At 46.5% G+C, this 24,022-nt stretch overlaps 1 protein-coding gene across 14 annotated transcripts in view, besides 1 other annotated feature; it reads right to left on the bottom strand.

Moving 5' to 3' along the window:
* Positions 1-24,022, bottom strand: part of PRDM11 (PR/SET domain 11) — a 140,951-nt gene that overhangs the window by 29,720 nt on the left and 87,209 nt on the right. For 10 of the 14 annotated variants that reach the window (NM_001359633.2, NM_001384648.1, NM_001384649.1 and 7 more), the window contains 4 exons: positions 23,505-23,629; positions 23,041-23,144; positions 22,267-22,529; positions 612-679 (listed from right to left, as the gene is read on the bottom strand). In NM_001359633.2, coding sequence (NP_001346562.2) covers positions 612-679; positions 22,267-22,529; positions 23,041-23,144; positions 23,505-23,623 — 554 coding nt within the window. In that variant the 5' untranslated portion in view covers positions 23,624-23,629. Of the gene's footprint in view, positions 1-611; positions 680-17,025; positions 17,060-22,266; positions 22,530-23,040; positions 23,145-23,504; positions 23,630-24,022 lie in introns of those variants that run through there. The other 4 variants (XM_011520225.3, XM_011520224.4, NM_001384651.1 and 1 more) reach the window with 2 other exon arrangements.
* Positions 23,137-23,868: an enhancer, noted in NCBI's record as "H3K27ac-H3K4me1 hESC enhancer chr11:45203073-45203804 (GRCh37/hg19 assembly coordinates)". NCBI's record gives its function as "activates a minimal SCP1, AML or CMV promoter by ChIP-STARR-seq in primed H9 embryonic stem cells {active_cell/tissue: H9 hESC(primed)}" and the evidence as "EXISTENCE:reporter gene assay evidence [ECO:0000049][PMID:30033119]".

The raw sequence follows: 24,022 nt of genomic DNA, 5'->3' as shown, positions 1-24,022 counted from the left end.
GTTCTGGGCTCAGCTCAGCCATCCCTGGGTGACCCTGCCTGGGGCCAGTCTCCTGCCTCCTCTGGTTGGCATTTAAGAAAACTTCTGGTGCAAAATTCTGTCCCAAACACCGGAACAGGGTAAAGTTGACACTTCAAAGTACTCAAACATAGGCAGCAACACTGTCAAAAACTGAGCTGAAGACTTTGTCAGAGCCCTTTCTTCCATGGAGGCTGTTTAAACAACTGCTGGGGCTGCACTGGGACGATTCTCACACCACCCCTGCAGGAGCCTGCTCTGAGGTGTCACAGTCCTAGGTGGGGGACAGTCTCCTCCTCCTCCCTAGGAATGCTGCCAGGAGCCTGGGGCCCAGGACCTCCAGACACACTGGCAAGTGAGCAGCCCGAGCGGTCCCTGCATCCCAACGGCCTGACCACACGCCGTCCTCTAGAGCCCCCTGATGGAGGCCTAGGGGAAAAGGTGGGTCCTTCAGAGCTAGATGCATCCAAACCCTGCAAACGGCAGCCTCCAGAAGTCTCCACCACTGGAGCTCCCACAGGTCCAACACACTCCCTTGGCTCCTTTCCAGAGGCCAGGCAAGACCCCCGGGACATCAGCAGAGCAGGGCTCACCTCATCCAGTTGGCTTTGGTCTCGTCTGAGCCATCTATGGACTTATAGCGGTTGTTCTTGTCCACAATCTGGAAGAAAGAGAAAGAGTCTAGGATGGGCCATTCTAGAGGGGTTCTCATGTCCCTGGGCTCCTTCCCAACCAGGGCCCAGGGCCTGGTCCCACCTGCTCCCTCCCCCTCCCCCTGAAATGTCACCACTGCTACAGAACTGAAATGCAGGCTGGGTTCAGAATCTCTGCTACCTGCCCTCCACCCATTCCCATTCTTCTAGAGACACTGGAGATCCTATTCTCCTAGACACACAAAGCCCTTCAGAGGTGTTTTGAATTCCTGGAAGATGGGAAGCAGATGGGACCATCTCCCTCCTCTGTCTTGATGGAATACTCAGCAACATGGCTGACAAGGGGCTTTTCCACTGGCCTCGCACTGCAACTACAAAGGCTAAACCAATCCTTCTCTCCTTACAGTTTCTGTGGGAGACAGAGGCCACTGCTGGATGACTGAATATATGTGATTTGAGAGGGTTCCTCCTCTCCCCAACCTCTAAATGTTCAAGAGCCTCAGGGTTTGAAGCTGGCTGGTTTCTCTTTCATTTCATCATCACTCTTTAATCAGAGTTCAGCTGGGTATGAAATTCTAGGCTAAGTTTTATTTTCTTTCAGCACTCTGAAGACTGCTAAAAAGACTGCCATCGGCGCAAAAGCAACAGCTGTCAGTCTAATGTTGTTCTTTTGTGGATAATCTGTCTGTGGTAAATTTTAAGACTTTCCTTTTACTCTTGATTTTCTGCAGTTTTGCTATGTGGTTTTGAAGTGAAGATTTACTTTCCTGAAATTCTCCTTACTACTTGATGAACACCTTTCAACTCCAAGACTCATATCCTTTTCAATTCTGGAAAATTCTCAGTCATTAGGCTTTTGAATACAGCTTCTCGGCCATTTTCTCCATTCTCTTTCAGTACAATTTCTGTTAAACACGTATGGCAAAAAAAATTAGCTGGGTGTGGTGGCGGGCACCTGTAGTCCCAGCTACTTGGGAGGCTGAGGCAGGAGAATGGTGTGAACCCGGGAGGCGGAGCTTGCAGTGAGTCAAGATGGCACCACTGCACTCCAGCCTGGGTGACACAGCAAGACTCCATCTCAAAAAAAAAAAAAAATTATGGGAGTAGCTCAATATATCCTTCATGTCTTTTAACTACTCTTCCATATTTTTCTCTTTATTATTCTGGGCACTCTCTGGAAAAATATCTCAGAGCTCTCTTCCAGTCCACTAATTATCTCTTTGGCTGTGTCTAATCCGGGGTTTCTCCCATCTACTGAGGTTTTTCCAACTTTCTTTGTTTTTTTTTTTAATGAGTACCTTTATTTTGATGAATATTTTTCATTCCCAGAATTTTTAATTAGTTTTTTTTTCAGGTCCACCCTTTTATACATCCTGCCTCTTTCTGTTTCATAGTGACATGTTCCTTCTTTTTCCTTTCTAACAGCTTTATTGAGGCATCATTGACATATAAGGTACAACTTGATAAGTTTTGACACATGAGCTAGATCAGGGTTGGTCCCCTGAAGACTTGGTGAAGCAGAGCCTGGGAGAACTCCTGGGAGATGGGAAACAGATGGATAGTCACCATGCCTAGACTCCTACCTAACCTAGTGCCATTCATAAGCCTCCATCGTTCTCTTCAAAGCAGCAGAGAAGCCCTTTATCAATGTAAATCAGATCATGTCCCGCACCAGCTCAAAATGGCATCCACTGCACTTACAATAAAACTCATATTTATGGCCACAGCCTTCATACCCTACAGGCCTGCCCCCGAACTTACCCTGGGCCTCTCACTTCCTTTTCACTTTTCTGCAGCCTTGATGCCCTGAGGGTGAGCCTAGAGCCTCTTTTATCTACCCTTAAAAATAACAATAATCATGAAATATTTCAAGCATTCAGAAATTATAAAGAAGAATGCAGCTGACAACCCTGTGCCCATCAGCTAAAGCCAAGAAAAATTAACACGAGTTATATTTGTCTCAGGCCTCTCTCTCCTTTTGCTTCAAGAAAATGCTGAGATGCAGTGGAAGACCCTCTCTGCCTCCAACTTCTTCTCTTTCCTTTCCTCCCTCCAAGAGTAACCACCATCCTAGAGATGGTGGGAAGCCTTCCCATTTTTATGACACAAGGACTTTTCAAAGAGCAACATACAGGACTGTTTGCATGTGTGTAAAGTTTACAGAAATGGCACCCAAGTGAACATATCCTTTTTCAATTTTTTCCCACTAAGCTTTGAATATGTGGTCCCTTCTTAGCTTTTGGGTCTCAGATTATGTGAGTTTGACAGAAGAAGCCTCTCCTAGCCTTGACCCTAAAGGAAGTTCTTCCTGGCCATACCTCATCCCTGGTCTATCATGGCATTATCTCTGTTACATCATCCTGTAACTTCCCTTAAGAGCCCTAATTGCAGTGAGCATTTTGTTGATATCTATTTGTCGATTTGGTAACTGACTGCCTCCCTGGCTAGACCGTAAGCTAATGAGTGCAAAGCACGTGGCTGCCCTGATCACAATGGTGGCCCTGGTTCCTAACGCAGGGAGGGCATGGCACATGGTGGAATACTGGTTGAATGAAAGAATGATGGGAAAAAGAGCCTTTTAAGTAAAAAGCAAGTTAAAGAGAAAAAAATTGGTTAAGTGTGATGCTCACACCTGTACTCCCATCACTTTGGGAGGCTGAGGCCAGAGAATTGCTTGAGGCCAGGAGTTTGAGACAAGCCTGGGCAACATAGCGAGACCCTGTCTCTACAAAGAATTTTTTTTTTTTGAGACAGAGTCTCGCTCCATCACCCAGGCTGGAGTGCAGTGGTGCACCTCGGCTCACTGCAAGCTCCGCCTCCCAGGTTCACGCCATTCTCCTGACTCAGCCTCCCAAGTAGCTGGGACTATGGGTGCCTGCCACCATGCCTGACTAATTTTTTTTGTGTTTTTTTTTAGTAGAGACAGCGTTTCACCGTGTTAGCCAGGATGGTCTTGATCTCCTGACCTCGTGATCCGCCCACCTCGGCCTCCCAAAGTGCTGGGATTACAGGCATGAGCCACTGCGCCCAGCCTCTCTACAAAGAATTTTTTAAAAAATTAGCCAAGTGTGGTAGTGCACGCCTGTGGTCCCAGATACTCAGGAGGCTGAGGCAGGAGGATTGCTTAAGCCCAAGAGTTTGAGGCTGCAGTAACCCATGATTGTGCCACTGTACTCAAGCCCGGGTGACAAAGCAAGATCCTGTTTCTAAAAGAAAAGAAAAGAAGAAAGAAAGAAGGAAAGAAGGAAGGAAAGAAACAAGAAAGGAAGGAAGGCAGGAAGGAAGAAAGAAGAAAAAATTATAAAATGTTAAGATTTTAGTAAAAATGAAATGAGTGCTATGCTGGAGCCAGCTTATGTTGACTGAGAGCCAACTGTTAAATTTTCAGGAATTTTGTGAACCAGTTGTCAAACACAGCCATTATTGAAAAACTAAATGATATAAACTTACAATTCAATAAATGATATATTTTTAAAAGGCAATAAATACTCAAAACTTAACCATTCCCAATTATTTTACTACATTTGACTGATGATTTTCTATGCTCTCTAGGGTACTGGCCTCTACTGTAGCTGCAGAGTAGAAATACCATACAATAGTTGCGATTGCATATTTCTTCCCAATTGCACATTCAGTGATTTCATGCTAGTAGCTTGAAATCAGCCATGGGGGGAGCATTTACACCATGGAAATTGGCACATTGCCTCACCATCACCATCACCATCACCATCAGTTGTAAACATCTACCAGCACACCACTATGCATGTTTACATGAGCATAGATAGTCTAGGAGATACACATCAAAATCTCAACTCTCATTACTCTGGAGGGGAGGAAAGAGGGAAGCAGGGATGCTTTTGCTTAATTTGTCTATAAGACTGTACTGCCTTTGTGTTTTAAAAATCTCAGAAAACTAAAAAGAGAAAACATGCAACTCAAGCTTCCCCTTCCATGGCAGTTTCCCCAAGTGATGCTCCAGTCTGCAGGGACCCTCCCCTGGAATCTCAGAGAACCCTGGATTTTATCATAACACTACTCCCCCTACATTATCATTTCTGATTGCTCCCCTGTCTCCTGGGGGAAAAGAGAAGCATCTCTAGTTCCTACAGCCAGTAGTAGGAGCACATGGAGGGTAGTAAGAGCCATGGAGCCAGAGGAATTGGCTAGAATTTCAGCTTCACTGCACACAAGCTGAGTGGCCTTGGGCAGATCTTTGCTGACCATGCCTCAGTTTCCTTATCTATAAAATTGGATAAAAACCAACCTTGTAGCACTGCTGTCATAATGGAAGTGGAAGACACTCAGTGAACAGTCACTGTTAGCACTGTGATCATAATCGGGATTATTAAGAGTTCAAATATTAATTACTAATTTGGGGTGGTGGGAGGCCTGTGGTTCAACACTGAGTTGTAATCAGTCTTGGCAGTTTCATCTGGACAGAGAGGACTGGGTGAGGGCTGTGAAGGACATAGGAACCGCCTGAGACCACTGTCTGCTGGGTTCAGGTCTAGAGCTTTTCTGACAGGTGTTTTTGGCTTATCTTTCCCACCAATTGGGATTGTCTCATATCAAGCATTTATTCACTCATTCATTCATTCAACCAACAAATGTCATGGAGGGAGAGGCCACAGTGACAGGCTCTGGGGATAAAATGTTGACCCAGGCAGAGAGTGTCTTTGCTCTTAGAAAGCTCACAGCCTAGCGGGACGCAGAAGAGAGGCCACTGTGATATGGCATGGCCAGTCCCATGGTGGAGAATTATGTGGGATTATGGGATCTCTGAGCTGCAGCCCTGGACCTGGGAATCTACTGAGGACCTTTTCTGGGGACATGGAGTCTAAGCTGAGATCTTAGAGAAGAGAGAGATGGTGCCCTAGGCAGAGGGTGCAGGGCAGGCAGGATCTCGCAGGGCCTGTGGACCACGTTACATGCCACTGATGAGCCCAGGCCATCCTGAGTAGAGAGCAGGCTGTGGGCTTCCTATTCTGGGACTGACATGGGTCCAGGAATGACAGCAGGGCCAGATGCTCAGGACAAGCCCCCCAGAAGACTGGTCTCCCAGTGACTTCCCTTGCCTTATCCCTCAAGGTCAACTCCTTGGTCCCTCTGAACTCAGCACTTTGGACCAGCCCAGAAGCTCTGAGCATTGTGGTACAAGGCCTTTGATAACCCGGAACCAGGCTGATAACCTGGGGAACCTGCATGGTGAGAGGCTCCCTTAGCCTGGAGAAGAAGAGGCCTGAGAAAGCAGAGCCATCATCATCAGATGTGGGAAGGACGACCATGTCGTGGGGACAGGATGGTTAGAACGCGCATGCATCTAGAGGGATACAGGCCTGAACTCAGCACAAAAAGTGATGGTCTAACATGCAGAAGAGTCCTAAGATAGGACAAGAACCCTGTGAGGTGGTGAGCTTCCTGTTAATGGGAGTGTTCAACCAGGGGATGATTTGCTAGCAGGGAGGCTGAAAAAAGGACTTCCTCACTCAGTGGAAATCTGTCCTAAATGACCTCAAAGTTCTGTCTAAAATGAAGACTGAGAGATGCTCATAAAAATAACATAAAAGCATGGAGTTTGGCCCCCTGAGCGAAGCATGGTCCAGGTGGATCCACATGCTATTTTAGACCATGGTAATAATTAATAAAGACAATAAAAATAAAGCCTCATTAACAGCTACCACTTATGGAGTACCTTCACTATGTCAAGTGCTTTGACACACTATTAATTCTCACAGCTACTATGATTATCCTCCTTTTACAGATTGGAAAACTGAGGCTGAGGGCTGTTGGTAACCTGCCTGAGGCCACAAAGGAATTTTCCACACGGGAAGCTGGAGTTTAAACTTGGGTCTCTGACAGTACAGTCCATGCTTTAACCACTTTGTAGAGCAATGGATGTTAGCCCCAAGATTTTCCTAATGACTCCATTAACCACCCTCAACCATTCCTGAAACCCAGAATCAACCAGGACTCTTCTGGGCCCCTCTCTGAACTTCCAGCTTTGCCTCTGAGCAAATCTGCTATCTGCAGGTTGGCATTTTAATAGGGAAGAATGCTCTGCTTTGCAACAGAATGTCTGTCTGCCCCAGTCGAAGATTCACTGTTGGGCTCCTCTAAATGGTGTCATGACCAGATGCTGCAGAGATGGATTTTCAAAAACCTGATTTGTTTGCAACTTTCCAGGAATTCATTGAATCCATAAAGCATTCATAATTCAATCCTGCATTTCTTCATAGAGCAAAGTAGTTACAAGAATGACTGGTGAAGCCATTCACAGTTGATGAAGCACTTTGGCATACCTCAAATGCTCCTCTCCCAAGCCCCAGGAGGCAGATGGCATCACTTCTTTTCTCTAGCTACTCCCCAGCCCAGCCAACTGAAGACCTGAGAGATAGAGATAACCTGAACTTGAACTTGAACTCTGGCCTCTGCTATGGCCACAGACATGGAGTGAAGAATACTTAAGCTAGATGAGGGCATCTGAGATTATCCATGCTCTAGGTTTCTAACCTGGTGTCTGGGAAAGGGGGCATCCCTTAAAATGTGTGCAACATTTTGTGAACATTGGCACGTGAGTATAACTTCCTAGGTGATTCAAAAAAGCTCAAGAACCATGATTTAACCCATCTGCCCTAATTTAACTGATAAGGAAATGAGAACTTCCTTTTATTAATCCAAAACTTCCTTTTATTATTATTATTATACTTTAAGTTCTAGGGTACATGTGCACAACATGCAGGTTTGTTACATATGTATACATGTGCCATGTTGGTGTGCTGCACCCGTTAACTCGTCATTTACATTAGGTATATCTCCTAATGCTATCCCTCCCCCTTCCCCGCACCCCACGACAGGCCCTGGTGTGTGATGTTCCCCACCCCGTGTCCAAGTGTTCTCATTGTTCAATTCCCACCTATGAGTGAGAACATGCAGTGTTTGGTTTTCTGTCCTTGCGATAGTTTGCTCAGAATGATGGTTTCCAACTTCATCCATGTCCCTACAAAGGACATGAACTCGTCCTTTTTTCAAATTTCTTTTCGGTTTAGACCGCTTTTTGAGGTATGACTGGCATACAAAAAGCTGTATGTATTTAACATATCTAACTTGATGAGTTTGGAAATAAGTGTACACCTGTCAAACCGTCGCCACAAACTATGATATAAACATATCCATTACCTCCAAAAGATTCCTCCTGCTCTTATTATTATTATTATTGTGATAATACTTAACATAAGATCTACCCTTTTAGCAAATTTTTAAGCATGCAATACAGTAAACTATAGGCTCTATGCTGTACAGTAGATCTCTGGGACTTACTCATCTTGCATAACTGAAACTTTATACCCTTGGACTAATATTTCCCTATTTCCCTCTTTCCCAGCCACTGGAAACCACCATTCTACTCTCTGTCTCTATGAATTTGACTATTTCAGATTCCTCCTATAACTGGTATCAGGTAGTATTTGTCCCGTGTCTGGCTTACTTCACTTAGCATAATGTACTCCAGGTTTACCCATGTTGTTGCAAATGGCAGAATTTCCTTCTTTTTACTGCTTAAAAAGACTCTGGAGACCTAGTTAATGAGGCATGTTGACAAACAATCCTAAATTCCACATCCAGGTTTTATACACTTTGATTTCACCTCCCACCCTCAACCATTCCTGAAACCCATCTGATGATAACTGTGGATACTAAAGCTGGCTGTGATCTGCTCATCACATGCTAAGTACTAGGCATGCAACAAGCATTAGTATTTACAACAACTCATAGGGGTGTGTTCCATTAGACTGTGCATCCTCATTTTATGGATAAAACCACTGGAGCTCCGAGAGAATAGGTGAGCAGCCCAAAGACACATTTCTCGCAGGTGGTAGAGCCAGGATCGGAATCCAGGAACAGAGCCTATAACCAACTCAGACAGCTCTTCCCTTCACAAGTCCTTCTTTTCTGCCTGTAAAAGGTGCCAGGACTATGGACCAGCCTCAGGACCAACCACCCGCTACCCTGACCACACACAGCCTTGCTCTCCTTGGTAAGGAGGCAGGCTCCTGGTGAAAGGCAATAGCATTCTGAGTACTAGTTTGGACCCTTGGGGAAGAACTAGAGAAGCAGCTGTCAAGCAGACTGGCCTCAATCCCATCTCTTAGTTATGCCTTTTTATGAATGGTCTTGGGCAAGGGTGAGAGAGAGATCCAGGAGTATCTGGATCAGGAGTTTGCTGCCTATCTAGGGGGCAGCAAAAATGTAAACTGGAATGAGCCAGAGAGAAATCAGATAGAAATACACTTTAATTATCATGCTGCAGATTGGAAGAGTCTTCCAAGTTAACCTGGCAGAAGAACGTAGTTAACAGGGCTGACATGAAAAGCACCCCATGGAGCTGTTAAGTACACAACCGGCGCATCCATCCTGGGTAGCTCTCCCCAAATAACCACTGAAATGAACAAGAGATAGAAAAAAGGCAGAGCAAAACCCTCATGCTTCACAATGAGGTATCACTTCACATCCACTAGGATGGCTAGAATAAAAAAGTCAGAGAAAAACAAGGGTTGACAAGAATGTGGAGAAATCAGAGCCCTCATATACAACTGGTGGGAAAGCAAAATTGATCAGCTGCTTTGGAAAACAGCCTGGCAGATCTTCAAATGATGAAACCTTGAGTTACCATTCCACTCCTAGGTATTATGCCCGAAAGAAATAAAAACACGTGTCCGCATGGAAACTTGTACACAAATGTTTACAGCAGCATTATTCATAATAGCCAAAAGGCAGAGACTGTCCATCAATGGATGAAGAGATCAACAATATATGGAACATTTTTAGGCCATAAAAGGGAATGATACGGCCAGGTGTGGTGTCTCATGCCTGTAACCCCAGCACTTTGGGAGGCCAAGGTGGGTGGATCACTTGAGGCTAGGAGTTCAAGACGAGCCTGGCCAACATGCAAAACCTCATCTCTACTAAAGTACAAAAAAAAAAGAGCTGGGCATAGTGGTGTACACCTGTAATCCCAGCTACTTGGGAGGCTGAGGCAGGAGGATCACTTGAACCTGGGAGACAGAGGCTGCAGTGAGCCAAGATCGAGCTACTGCATTCCAGCCTGGGTGACAGAGAGAGATGATGTCTCAGATAAAAAAAGAAAAAAAAAAAGAAAGAAAGTAAAAGGGAATGATACATGCTGCCACACAGATGAACCTTGAAAACATGAAGCGAAGTGAAAGAAGCTTGTCACAAAGACCACATACTACATAATCTCATTTATATGAAAGGCCAGAATAGAAAAATCCATAGGGTCAGAAAGTAGATTAGTGGTTGCCTAGGGATGGGTGGGGGTGAGGGGTTGAAGATGTGGGTTAAGGGGATTGGAAGAGGGGAACGACAGCCAGAGGATACAGGATTTGATGAAACCGACTGTGATGATGGTTGCACATACCTGTGAATATAGTCAAAATCATTGAATCATACATTTTAAATGGGTGAATTATATAGTATGTGAATTACATCTCAATAAAGCTGTTAAAAAATAAAATCTGCCAAAGGTTCATTGTTACCAATCAAACAAGGAGAAGGGAACGATCTTACGTCCTACATATCCTATGCTTGAACAGTGACCCCCTAAAGAAACAGGTTTCCATGCAAGTGGGAAGACCAGCAATGGGATGCCAGGAAGGCATTCTAGATATTCACATCTGAGGCCTGGAGATGATGAACTGGAGATCTAGTTAAAAGTCCTGGCCCCATAAATGACCTGTATAACCTTAGATAAGTAACATGGCCTTTTAAGCCCCAGTTTCCCAATCTTTAAAAAGAAGATAATAACTGGCCGGGCGCGGTGGCTCACGCCTGTAATCCCAGCACTTTGGGAGGCCGAGGCGGGCGGATCACGAGGTCAGGAGATCGAGACCATCCCGGCTAAAACGGTGAAACCCCGTCTCTACTAAAAATACAAAAAATTAGCCGGGCGTAGTGGCGGGCGCCTGTAGTCCCAGCTACTTGGGAGGCTGAGGCAGGAGAATGGCGTGAACCCGGGAGGCGGAGCTTGCAGTGAGCCGAGATCCCGCCACTGCACTCCAGCCTGGGCGACAGAGCGAGACTCCGTCTCAAAAAAAAAAAAAAAAAAAAAAAACAGAAGATAATAACTATCCCACAGTACTGTTGTGAGATATACAAATCATTTAGTACTCAGTGAACAGCAGCTATTATTGTTACTACTATTATTGTTGTTATTGTTGTTCATCAACCCTAACTAGCATCTTTGGAGGACCCACTGGGGTTTGGAGTGCTGAATTAGGTTCAGAGAGCCTAGTTCAACAAGAGCTCTCCTTGGGGAATTTTCAAACACCAAGAAACCCCAAATCTTCTGCGGCAAAGCCAGGAAGTTTACTAAAAATTAGTGTCTCTCAAACTAGGGTCTTTGGATATATTCTCAGGATCTGAATGTTTTCTCTAAGAATTTTTAATTCCATGTTTTCATTTAAAAAAATCAATATGCGGGAATCCTCATGAGATTTCTGCACCCGCAAGAGTACTGCATTTATGGCTGAGGTGGCATCCGTGTCAGATTGAATCCCTGGCCCCAGCTCTTCAGCCATCCGTACCACCTTTTGCCACAGGATTCTGAACTAGACTGTTTAACAGGCAGCCTGCACTTCTTTGCTCCTTGACCTTACGTTCAACTGTGAAATTGATGTAGCCAATGAGATATTAGCAAACATGATATGAGCAAAGCCTCAAAATGTAGAAAAGCTCCCCCAGGGAGCCCTTGCTCCTTCAGCTGGGGCCCAGAACAGACATGCTCCAAGTGTCTGGAGCAGACCTGGCTCCAGAGAGAGAAGCCAAGAACCCCCAGCAGCTGGAGTCCGGGCAGCCCAGCAAGCCCAGCTATGTCAGCCAAACTGCAGCCAACCAGCAGATACACAAGTAGAAATGAGGAACGGCAGCTGACCAGCAGATACGTGAGCAAGAGTAAATGATTGTCGTTCTATGTCAGGGCTCAGCAAACTACGGCTTGTGGGCTAATTCCAGCCCACCACCTGTTTCTGCATGGCCCACCAGGCTAAGAATGATTTTTAAATTGTTGAAAATAAATCAAGAGAAAAACAATATTTCATGATGTGAAAATTATATGGAATTCAAACTTCACTATATATAAATAAACTTTTATTGGAACATGGCACACTGATGGCTGCTTTTGCACCATGATGGCAGAATTGAGTCATTGAGACAGACACTGTATAGTGTGCAAAACCTAAAATATTCACTATCTAGCCCTTTACAGAGAACACTTGCTGACCCTTGTTCTATGCCACTGGGTTTTTAGGTAGCTTGTTTTACCCCAACAGTTGACCATACAACCCCAATTATGACTACTTGCTATGAGCCAACAAAAAAAGAACAGATATAAACTTAATATGTAAATGTTGCACTCCGGCAAAGCAAAGGCCAAGACACATCATGGCAGTTGCAATAACAAAGATAGATGGGTGTGATGGCACACTCCTGTGATCGCAGCTACTCTGGAGGCTGAGGCAGGAGGATGGCTTAAGTCCAGGAGTTTGAGGTTATAGTGAGCTATGATCTTGCCATTGCACTCAGCCTGGGCAATAGAGTAAGTTCCCATTTCTAAATAAATAAATACATACATAAATAAAAGATTTCCCAGTGTTTCAAATAGAGACAAATAGTAGGAAAGTAAAGATATCACACTGAACACAAAAGTACAGGCATTCCAAACTCCAAAGACTCTTGCTGTGTCTCAGTAGTCACTACGATATTCGCCTTATAAATAGCAATTTTGTTTCAGTGACACATCATCAACTATCCCATTAGAATGACTTTGTTAATGTGTATTATGTTGAGGTTTTTGTAGTTAATTTTATATGTGTAAACTTGTTTTGGCTTTACAGTTGTTTAAAAGTTATAAGTACAAGACACTTTGTGTTTACCAAGCTATATGTTTATACCTTTTTAAGTAACATGAAAATAAAATTAATGTAACATGAAGACTCCAGGAACATTAAAAATCACCTGAACTTAACACTGTTCAGGTGTGAGAAACACAGCTACAGTAGAATGGACTGGAAAGCCAAGAAATAGAGGAGGTCAGGTTAGGAGCTGGTCTGTACTGGAAATATTATACAGGTTCAGAATAATTTTTCATGTTCTACTTTTGCTCTGATACAATAGATGTACAGACTTGGCTCCAGCCAGAACTGGTTCATGAGCATATTACATTTTCCTGGGGAAATCTTTGGTTTGGTTTGTGATTCAATAACTAAACTACCAGCACTTATAAAACAGCTACACAAGCTGAGCCCATTTAATGCTTCTGATATTCAGAATCTTTGGATTGAGGTATTCATTTTTACTCCTGGAAAAGCTGATATTGAATCAACAGTGTTTTATGATCCATTGCATCTGAGAACACAAGAAAAGTGACTTTCACTCTAGTCTCATCTTCCACTTTTCCTTCTAAACACACTTGGTACCTCTGTTATACCCTAATATTAATACCATCCCCACCTGACTGTTACGTGTGTGCCCCAGGGCCTTTGTAAATTCCATGACCACTGCTATGCTGCGTTCCCTCAGTTTCTGACATGGTAGGACATTTGCATCAACTCATCCATCCCTCCCTCAAAACCTAGTTCGGCTAATGAGAACACATGGACACAGGGAGGGGAAAGTCACACACGGCGGCCTGTTGCGGGGGTGGGAGGTGAGGGGAGGGAGAGCATTAAGACAAATACCTAATGCATGGGAGGCTTAAAACCTAGATGACGGGTTGTTAGGTACAGCAAACCACCATGGCACATGTATACCAATGTAATAAACCTGCAGGTTCTGCACATGTATCCCAGAACTCAAAGTAAAATAAAATAATAATAATAGTAATAATAATAATAATAATAAAACCTAGTTTGGCTTAGAAGCAAGGACACCCCAGTAGCAATTGCACACCTACCATTCAGAGATTTTGGCTCCTAAACACCATTTCCCACTGAAAGGAATCACAGCTCCTACGAGAGACAGTGGGAATATCTTTTTGTGCCAGAAAGTAAGGAAAAAGTGCTAAAATAATGATGGGGATGTGTCAAAAGAACAAGGAGCCAGTTTGAAAGCGTTCCCACTGGCCAAATCTAGGGCAATTTAAACATCAAAATGAATAATGACAGACATGGATTCCAACACATTGAATAAAAAAAGAATTCATGTTCATATGAATACTAAAAATAGCTTTAAATGAGGATTGAGTGGGGGTGAAGGTTGAGCACTATCTTTTTTAAACAGAAGAATGTCAAATAATAAATGTAGAAGAGAAAAAATAGAAAAATCATTTTAACCATGAATAATAATTGATACAGACAAGAATCATCAATAGTTGTTAAAACCATTGAGTAAAAGACAAGACAAACTGCCACCAGGTGCCTCCTGATGGCACACCGTGAGAAAGACCTAACATTGCTTGTGCCAAAAAGCTGTAATCGGAATCCACCATGAAGAAACAATCAGACAAATCTAAACTGTGGAACATTATGCAAACAACTAGCCTGAACTTTTCAAAAGTATCAATATCATGAAGAAAAAAAACAATACAGGGGAGACTTTTCTAGAATAAAGGAGACTAATGAGATGTGACAACTAAATGCAATGTGTGATACCTGCACGGGTCCTGGATGGGGAAAAAACCACAAAGGATGTTACTAATGGCAATTAGGGAAATCTGAATACGAACTATAGCTGAGACAGTATTGTATCCATGTCAAATTTCCTGGGTGTAATCATTATATGGTGGTTAAATAGCTCAGGGGTCAGCCAACTATGGCTGTAGGTCAAATCCAGCCCCCATTGTCTGTTTTTATACAGCCTGCAAGCTAAGAATCATGTTGCATTTTTTTAATGACTAAAAAATTATTTTTATGTAATTTTATTTCTATGACTTTCAAATTTCATTTGAAATAATATGCAATTCAAATTTCAGTGTTCATATAAAGTTTTATTGAAACATAGCAACACTCATTCATTCATGTATCATCTATGACTGCTTTTGCAGTGCAAAGGCAGAGTGGAGTAGTTATGACAGAGGCTGCACAGTCCATAAAGCCGAAAGTATTTACCAGGTAGCCTTTAAAAAAAAAAAAGTTTGCTCACCCTGGTATAGAAGAACACCTTGCTCTTAGGAATTTGGCTGAAGTGTTTTGAGGTAAAGTGTCATGATGTCTCTGTAACTATATCTCAAACAGTTCAGAAAAAAAAAAAAAAAGAATGTATGGCCGGGCGCGGTGGCTCATGCCTGTAATCCCAGCACTTTGGGAAGCCGAGGCGGGCAGATTGCCTGAGCTCAGGAGTTTGCGACCAGCCTGGGTAACACAGTAAAACCCCATCTCTACTAAAATACAAAAAAATTAACCAGACATGGTGGTGTGCGCCTGTAGTCCCAGCTACTTGGGAGGCTGGGGTGGTAAAATTGCTTGAACCTGTGAGGTGGAGGTTGCAGTGAGCTGAGATCATGCCACTGCACTCCAGCCTGGGTGATAGAGTGAGACTCCATCTCAAGAAAAAAAAAAAAAGTGTGTGTGTGTGTGCACGTGTGTGTGTAGGTGGTGTAAGTGTAGAAAGTGAGATAAAGCAATGGGTATAAAGTGTTAGCAATAGATGAATCTACAGGCAGGTGTGAGGGTATTCATTACACTATTCTTGCAACTTTTCAACCGAGTTTGCAACTTTCAAAATAAAGAGTAGAAATTAACAAGCAAGCATGAAAAGCACCTGCTCGTGCATGCTCACACACTGCACGACTACCCTGTCTCAAACGCCCCTTTTCTTTCTTCTCGAACAAACCTGTTACTCCTCACTTCTCTGAGCATCCCCGAACTTGGTAACACCTGCCTGTCCCCACCACATGTCATAGCACTGCAACTGTCTGCTTATTTCATCTAGCTAAGCACTCAGGGTCTCTCAGAGGCTTTTCTGGAGGATGTGCCATGAGCTCTGGCACGTCCACTTTCAAGTTTTAAAAGAAATTGTCAATTTACTATAAAAGCTGAAATGGGAAACACTAAAACACCATTTCATATCTGCTTCTCCCCAGAACGGTAGCAGTCTGGCAGGTGGGGAGGCTGCCTCGCATGGAGTGGACAATTCCACCACACAGTGTCCTCTTTATAAGGGCCCCTGGGAAACCTATCCAGTATCAGCGCCCAGAAGGGCGGACCTCCTCAGGAGCTCCCTGGTCCTTTTCACATTATGGACAGAATGTACCAGCTACTCTCCCAGTGGCTGCCAGATTTGGAGCCTGTATAGCTAAAAGTGCAGATAGAGGTCATTATAGTATGCATTTTTAGCTTCATTCCTGGCTTCACTTAGGGTCTCCACCCTTGTTTTCCTTTCTTCTTTCTCTCTCCCAGTTTTAATATGCCATTGTGGTATATTTTATGTATACTGCTAGGCTACCCTAAATCCCTTCTGGAACAAGCCAAGGTCTGAACGAAAAACTTACATAGAAACCCTGTGCTCGCGGCCGGGTGTGGTGGCTCAAGCCTGTAATCCCAGCACTTTGGGAGGCTGAGGTGGGCGGATCACTTGAGGTCGGGAGTTCAAGACCAGCCTGGCCAACATGGAGAAACCCCGTCTCTACTAAAAATACAAAATTAGCTGGATGTGGTGGCGCATGCCTGTAATCCCAGCTACTAGGGAGGCTGAGGCAGGAGAATTGCTTGAACCCAGGAGGCAGAGGTTGCGGTGAGCTGAGATCGTACCACTGCACTCCAGCCTGGGTAACGAGAGCAAAACTCCATCTCAAACAAACAAAAAAACAAACAAACAAAAAATCCCATGTTGGCTTCCTCTGTCTTCTGCCTCTTTACCAAACCACATGGCTGCGCAGCACCCCCAAATGCCTCGTGCCAGCAGCATGGTTCCTGGCCTGCAGTGTCTGAGGGTAGCCTGGGTGATCTTGGCAATGAATCACAGCATTTATAATTTCCAATAGGATGAAAAAGCAGAGCAAGGGGCATGTCTTTCCTAGACAGGCAGAGGTGAGTGTCCAACTCCTGCCAAGTCAGCCAGGCCACGAAGGAGAGTTGTGGAGTGGAAATGGCCATTCGGTCCATTATGACCCAGGCCCATGCCTTGTACCACTCTGCCCAAAGTCAGGCCAGCTTTCCTCCAGGTTAAGCGAAGACAAAGAGGGAACTTGTGCTGGGCAGGAAGAATGAGTAGAATAGAGTCTACCCAGGCAAGGAGGTAAGAAGAGGCGTGCTAAGTAAGGGAGGCTAGAGGGCCAAGAGGCGGAATGAGAGGGTAGGTTCTGGAGTCAGACTGCACAGGTTTGAACCCCAGCTCAGTGACTCACCAGCTGTTTAGCTTTGTGCAGAATGACTCATCCTCTCCAGGCCTCAGTTTTCTCAGCTGTGCAATGGATGGAATAATACCTATGTCACAGGAGCGTTGTTAGGATCAGATGAGATTATGCTATAAAGCACTGAGCACAGACCCAGACACATAGTAAGTGCTCAATAAACATTAACAGCTATGCTTGTCATGACCACCACCATCATTTCTACAGAGTAGAGTGCATATACTGAGGGAGGGAGTGTGGAGGGAAATGTGTTGTGCTGAATGGGGGCCAGAGCTTTTGCAGGCAGGCAGAAGGTCCAAAGAAGATGATATCCAGTATGGCTTTGGGACAGGACTTGACAAATGAGGGCAGTTTATTTAGGATATGGGGCTTCTAGATCTTGGTCCAAAAATCAGCACCACTGTTCACCCCACCTTCCCCGTACTCTCCCACCATTTGGCCTACCCATCAGCAGAGCAGGCAGGGCCGTTCTTCACGCCTGCTTTTCCCCAGTGGAGGCCAAAAACCCATGCCCAACACACACATACACACACACACACACACACACACACACACACACGAACTTTTCTTGAGCCACTTTAAGCATCTGGTGGCTCTAGGCCTTCAATGTCTCTCACCTCTTGGGTTCCCAAAGGTCAAAGCCCCCATATGGCCTTGCAGCCTCTAACCACTGCCTCCCTGTGCCCATCTGCTGGCTGCTGGCTGCTGGCTGCTGGCTGCAGCTAAGGCCCTAGGAAGAAACCTCAGAGGGAATAACCTCCAGGCCACCAGTCCCACCTCCTGAACTGGGGCCACGCCTACTCGTGACTGGTGGAGCTAGTCTAGAACCAGGTTGCAAACACCAGGGCCTTCTATTCCTCCTTTCTTCTCACCGTAGACCTGTGCCAGGCAGCCAACCTGGGAAAGTTCATCTGCTTTAAAGATTCTCAACTTTCCATGGCTGGGCTGTCCCAAGGTACAGACTCTAGCAGCTGCAGAAAGGGATCCTAATAGCCATTCCTTGGGCACAGTCTTAGATTTTTTCTCCTGCAATTTTCCAATAGGCTGTGAAGCCATAGGCTTCCTCTGTTGAACGTCTATCCATCCTTCAAGACAAGATCCATCTCCAATCTGCCCTGTTGAAACCAATCCCCCTCTCCCTACTGCTACAGCCCTCTGCAGCACTGCGATCACCAAGCAATACTCTGCCTCTGTATTACTTGGTTGGGAATAAGCTTCCTCCCCTCCTATCCACCATGGCCCCTGCTCCTCATAACTGAACCACAGGCTCCATAAGAACAGACAGCAAACCTCACGCAGCCCTGTTATCCCCAGAGCTCCCTGCTCAGGACCTAGTGCTCTGGAGTTGCTCTGTGTATGTGAGGTTGGGTTGAACCTGGACACATAACCAAAACTGGCTCAGGGTAGCTATTAACTGCTCCACCCCATTAGCAATGTCTCCCAATAAGGGAAGTCCTCACATGGTGGAGGGACACTATCTTTGAAGGAACCCAAGGTCTACTGTGGACCAGCTGTGGGAGTCCTGTGTTTCCTCGTCAGAACAAGAGGGGCAGCAACCCCCACCCTATGGACTGTTTCGAGGAAGAGTATGAGATGCCAGAGGTGTCCAGTATGCACCTGGCATATAATAATTGCTCAGTGGGCAACCAGACTTTTAAAACAAGCCATGCACCCTTGCTAGTTCCCTTTCCTCACCTCCCACTGACACCTTAATCCATGGCAATCTGGCTTCCGCCCATGAGACTGCTCCTGCCAAGGGGGCCAAGGAGACTTCCTACTGTCTCCTCCTACTGCTCCATGCCTCCTCAACTCCTCTCCCTCCAAGGATTCCTCAAACTCATATTCCAAAGGAAATGCCTCTTCTCTCCTCCCCAAGCACCTTTTCTGTAGGAAATGCCCTCCCTTCTCCGGGCTTCAGCTGCATTAATTTATATACTTAGTTTTCCCTGTCATCCCAGCATCTCTCTACTGCAGAGCCACACACACCAGAGTGCTCTGGACAGCTCCCCTGAGCATCTCACGGGCACCAGGAACTCTACTCATCCCAAGCAGAACTCACCTTCTCTGATCTCCTCGATTTCAGGCCACCTCAATCCACCTCCCTGCATATTTTAGTAGATGTCCCCCCACAAACATAAAAGCCTCCTATATGAGTTCCCTGTTGCTCCTGTAATAAATTGCCAATAAACTGCCAAAACCACAGTGGCTTAAAACAACACACATGTATTACCTTATAGTTCTAGAGGTCAGAAGTCCTACAATCAAGGTGTTGGCAGGGCCACATTCTTTCAGGAAGCTCTGGGAATTAATGTGTTTCTTTGACTTTTCTGGCTTCCAGAAGCTGCCTGCATCCCTTGACTCCCGGCTCCTTACTCTATCTCGAAGGCCAGCAGAGCAGCATCCTCCAATCCCTTTCTCTCTGACTCTGAGCCTCCCACCTCCCTCTTATTAAGATGCCTGTGATTACACTGGGCCCACCCAGGTAATCCAAGATCATCGCTCCCATCTCAAGATCCTTAACTTAATCACATGTGCAAAAAATCCCTTCTGCCATGAAGATAGTATATTTACAAGTTCTAGGGATTAGGACAGGGACATTTTTGGGGGGACATTATGTGGCCTACTATACCTAACTATCTCTATCTGCTCTAATCCTCTGGGCTAACCCTGTAGGGACAGAAATGATGCTGATCCACCCCCTTTTTTGTCCAGTATCTCCATGTGAACCCTCTGAGGTGATGTAAAAGGTTAGGAATCATGCCTTATCTCTACTCTACACTCAAGCACTTCAGCAGAACCCCTCCCTTGGCTTTTTGAGGATGCTAAAGTCTTTCTAATGAACAAACTCTCTTGACCACACACCCTCCCACCTCACTCTTATCTTTCTCCTCCACTTCTGATCTTATCTGTAACCAAACTTCTAGGAAATGACTATGCCTGGTCACCTCCATGCTAATCAGGTTCCACCCCCATCACTCTCCAGCAGGGTTTCTGCAGATAACTCTTTGTTATGAGGGACTATTCTGTCCATTGTAAAATGTTTACAGTAATCCTGGTCTCCAACTGCTAGATGCCAGCAGCTTACCCCTATGCTGAGCTGTGACAACCAAAAGGTCTCCAGACATTGCCCAATGTCCGGGGACAGGAGGCTGGGCTGCAAAATTGCCTCAGGTTCAGACCCACTGCTTTCTACAATAGCTCTTGCTAAAGTCACCCATGGCATCCCTGGTAGTAAATCCACGGGACACTTTTCAGTCTTTCTGGCTGGTTTCTCAGCAGCACTTGGCACTGACAGACATTGTGGCCTGGAGAACCTCTCTTCTCCCCTGACTTCCAGGTCACCCACTCTCCTGGTTTCCCTCCTACCTCTCTGGCTGCAAACCTTCTCTGTCTCCTTTGCAGGATCAAGCTCCCCTTCTAGACCATGAACTGCTAAAGTCCCTCAAAGCTTGCTCACAGGCCTTTCCACCTTTCACTCAGCACATTCTCCCTAGGTTCTGCGCTCCACACCCACACCCCCACTGACCACCCATGCACAGGTGACTCACTAAGCAACATCTCCAAGCCTCCTCTCCAAGCTTCGGACCCATATATCCAACTGCCTACTTGACATCACCACTTGGATATCTTGTTGTTACTCCAAACTCAACAAGTCCCAAACCCAAATCATGATTTTTCCCTCAACCCAGTCCCCTTCCAGCCTCCTCCATTTCTCAGAGAAAGACACCATTAACAACCTGTTGGGAGACTGCAGATGTCCTTGATACCTCCTGCTCCCTTCCTTAGGCCAGTTAGTCTATGTCTAAGTCAGAGCTCTCCTCTCTGATACAGTTCACAAAGCAGTTCGTTTGGCTCCAAGTCTTTGCCCCAACCCTAGCCCAGTCTTCCACCATTGCCGACTACAGAACTCCCACACGCTCTACCTGGGGAAAGGGGTGTGGGTACCCATTCTTGACCAGCACCCCTGAGCTCAATCAGTTCTCCAGGCTGTAGCCAAAGTCATCTTTTCAAAACATAAATGTGACCAAGTCACTCCCCCAACTCCTACATTATTAAAAGGACAGAAGTCCTAATTTGGTCCACTGGGCCCTACAAAATCAAGCCTCCATCATCTCCAGGCCCCTGTGTGTGCTGCACTCCAGGCACACTGACCTTCATCCAGTAGCTCAGATGTACCATGCTCTCCTGCCACAGGGCCTTTGCTCTTGCTGTCCAAGGCATCTGGATGCACCTCTCCAATCTTCACCTGGTAGGCATTCACCTCCTTCAATCACAGCTCAACTAGCAGGAAGGCTTCTCTGACCTCTACCCATATTACCTCCCCTGGTTGTTCACTTTTTCCCAGTCTCACTGTTTCTCCATCACCCTCAGAGTTATTATTTGACATGGATTTGTCTTAGTCTTTGATTAATTCTATCTTTCCCACAGAGAACTCCATGAAGGCAGGATTTATCTGATTGCCTTATCTGGCCCACCACTGTATTTCCAGGGCCAGCCCAGTGCCTGGCACAAAGGAGATACTCAAGAAGTGTTTTTGTAGTGAATAAGGATCTTCTTACCCTCTAGAATGCTTTTCTCTATTACCCCACCCTCCCCTATCTCTGTCTAGTAGCTCAAGCATGATTCCTTAAAGTTGCTTTGGTAACCCTTCCTCCTCATACCCTTGAAAACCCCTCTTCCTCATCTTTGCAACCCATCTATTGATAGTACCCTGTGTTGCAACTGATATCACATGTGTACCTGCTTGTTCAATGCCTGTCTTCCTACCAGATCGTCTGCTCCCTGAGGGCAGGAACCATGTCTGTCTTGTTGAAGGGTTTACCCCCAGCACCTAGCCCAGAGCCTGATATTACTGGTTTGGAAGTGGGAAGTCATGCTCTGCATCCCCAAAGGCCAGCTCCGAGTCACCCACTCTAGAAGATCGGTTGGTTCAATACTGCCCAATGGTCCACCAGACACACACATGAGGATTCATGGGGAAATTGCCCTGAGTTCTGCTTGGTGATTTCCTGATCTGCTGACTACTGCCAGGTGGGTGCTCTCAGCATTGCCCTTGGACACCAAGCGTTGCAGCCACTCAGCCGGGGCCAGGGGACAGCAAGATCCATCATCGACAGGTCCAGAAGCGATGGTAGAAAAGTTCTGGGGCCAAGCTGGGCCAGTATGGCTCCCCCTGGTGGTTTCCTTCCATGTTTCTTGGCAACCTCTCCCATGAATAGCCCAGGGCACACTCACCAGCCAGGAGAAGAAGCCAGCTGATTTGTCCTGGGTGGAGATCTGCCCCTCATAGGGGCCGAAGATGTGGCCCTTGGGGATGACCTCGTTTACACATCGCACGTCACTCTCTCCACTAGTGTCCTTGACCACCTCCATGCCCTGTGGGATGGTGAGCGCCGCCCGGTCTGGGATGCCCACGGGCACCGGTGTGTCAGACACAAACACCGGGGGGCCATGGTTTGGGCATTCATCCACGAAGTACTCCTGGCAGGACTCACAGACTGGAGGGATGGAAAGAGAAGGGAGGGCCTCAGTTGTTGCAGGGAGGTAAGACCCCCATGGGGGAGGTAGAGGGGCTGACAGGAGGCCCACTCATGGACAGCCAGCTGCAGGCCCCAGGGTCATCGGTAGCAATAACCCATACTCTCCCTGGGGGCTCCAAGAACAGGCCTGCCTACGTCAAGGAGGCCAGCAGCTACCTTTGTCTCAAGTTTTAAAAAACTGGAAGAAAGAGCATGGCTTTGGAGTCCAAGTGCAACTGTACCCCTTTGGGCCAGAGGACTCGAGGCGTGGGATACTTAACCCTCACCAAGACTCAGTGTGCTATCTGGAAAATGGGGCTAACAATAGCCATTTGGATGGCTAATGATGATGACGAACCAAGGCCTGGACCTGGGCCTGGTATATTGCAGGTGAGGACCTATCTTAGTAGCATTGTTGTGAATTCCCTAGCCAGGAATGGGGCGATGGGGGTGAAGGGAGGAGCAGCCCAGAGCCCCAAGCTCCACTTACACCAGAAGTCCACTTGCTGGAAGCTTTTGGGCACGATGAGGTCGCGCTTCCCCTTCAGTTTCTTGGGCTCAACTTCCATGGCCGAGGAGTCCGGTCTCCTAGAGCTGGCCAGGGCAGAGGCCCGCAAAGAAAGCAAAGAAGTCATCAGAGAGTGAGAGCCCAGTGGGGACAAAAGCTGGGGACCTGGCCAGGAGACCGAGAAGATGTGGGGTGGGCAGAGGAGTCCCAGCCAGCCTGCTGTTCAGTGCAGGAGGTGGTGGAAAAACTGGAGGATTGAGATGCGAGCACAGACCTCCCTAGGCCACTGCTTGGATTTTTCTAGAGCCTGCGCCCAGGAGCTGCCGGGAGCAGGGTTAGGGAAGGTGGGCAAGGAGTGAGAACGTTTCCCAGGGTTCCCAACCAACCGAGCCCAGGCACCTCCCACTCCCACTTCTCCCTCTCCAGTTCCCACACAGGGGCCTCACCAGGGCTGGCCATACTCCTGGTCTCGGAGTGGTGAGCAGACCTCCGTCTTCACCACCGTCACCATATCCCCCACGGCTGCATTGGTCTGGGCCAAGCACTCCTTCATGTTCTCGGTCATTCTGTCCTGGGACGCAGGAGGTGGGACCAGCACAGGAAGAGGATCAAAGAAACAGGGGAAGAGGAGTGAGCGGCGGAGAGGGCAAGTGGGGGTCTCGCGGAGTCTGGTTACCCTCCCTGCCATCCCCAGAGGAAGCACTTGAGAACACAGACAACAAAAACAGCTGTAGCCCGGCCAAGAGGAAATGCCGTTTCTATCCCGGGCTGGTCCTGGGGACGACTGGAGCCACCAGCCCCATGGGGTCAGGAGCCTAGAGCAGCTCAGGCCAGGAGGCCGCGCTGGGAAGCATAGCCTGGACCCCTAGACCAAAGGGCAAAGGGCAGGAGGATCCCACATGAGCCTGGGCGCAAAACTGCAAAGGGGAGAAGGGAGGGTTCACAACTCAAGCCCAACTTGGGC

This window comes from Homo sapiens, chromosome 11 (assembly GCF_000001405.40).
Source record: "Homo sapiens chromosome 11, GRCh38.p14 Primary Assembly".
Classification (NCBI taxonomy): domain Eukaryota; kingdom Metazoa; phylum Chordata; class Mammalia; order Primates; family Hominidae; genus Homo; species Homo sapiens.
Note: the sequence above shows the minus strand (reverse complement) of the source record. Positions and strands in the feature narration are given on the sequence as shown.